General features: G+C 37.8%; 1 annotated feature.

Annotated features, from left to right (window-relative positions):
- Positions 279-479: a silencer, noted in NCBI's record as "peak4871 fragment used in MPRA reporter construct". NCBI's record gives its function as "represses an SCP1 promoter by STARR-seq MPRAs in K562 erythroleukemia cells {active_cell/tissue: K562}" and the evidence as "EXISTENCE:reporter gene assay evidence [ECO:0000049][PMID:32103011]".

Raw genomic sequence — 878 nt, 5'->3', positions numbered from 1 at the left:
CCTTCTTTAGCATACAGTCAGGAAATAACCATAAAAATGGGCAATCAGCTGCCCTCGGGGCTGCTCTGCCTATGAAGTAGTCATTCTTTTATTCCTTTATTTTCTTAATAAACTTGCTTTCACTTTGCTCTGAATTTGCCTTGAATTCTTTCTTGTACAAGATCCAAGAACCCCTTGGGGTCTGGATCGGGACCCCTTTCTGCATTTACCCTTTGACTTAGCAAGGTCACTTCTGGGTATTTATCCTATGAATATTCCCTCCCTCGTGCAAGATGATGTATGTATGAGGTTGTTACAGCAGTGTTTGTTGGAAATGGTCCAAGTGTCCAGCAAAAGAAGACAGGTTAAGTAGCTCACGGACATTCAAGAACGGGAGTACTACTTTGTCACTAGAAACATGTGGACACCATGCACGGATATGGAATGGCTCCAAGATATATGGTTACACAAAGAAAGCAAGGTTCACAGCAACATGTGTAGGCTAACCTTTGTGTAGGAAAGAGAGAAGAGTGCACATTCGCATTATCTTGTATTTGAATTTAAAATCTCTGTGATACGTTTACCCATGTAACAAATCTGCACATCCTGCACATGTATCCCTGAACTTAAGATATAAGTTGGAAATAAAAAAAAAAGAAAAGAAGTGTTGGGCATGAGGTCTAAAAGAGAATTGGTATCAACTAAATACTGTCAACCTACAGGATATGACAAAGAATTAATACTGACTAGCTACTAGATATAAAGATGCATACATATAAACAAGTGTATTTTTCAAAATAAACATCTTGAAACTAAACAAAAATCTCTGTGATAAATAAGAAACTAATAAAATGGTTGAGGATAAGGGGAGCAAATTGGATTCAGGGATTGGTAGGCTT

Source organism: Homo sapiens, chromosome 3 (genome assembly GCF_000001405.40).
Source record: "Homo sapiens chromosome 3, GRCh38.p14 Primary Assembly".
NCBI classification, from domain to species: Eukaryota; Metazoa; Chordata; class Mammalia; order Primates; family Hominidae; genus Homo; species Homo sapiens.
Note: the sequence above shows the minus strand (reverse complement) of the source record. Positions and strands in the feature narration are given on the sequence as shown.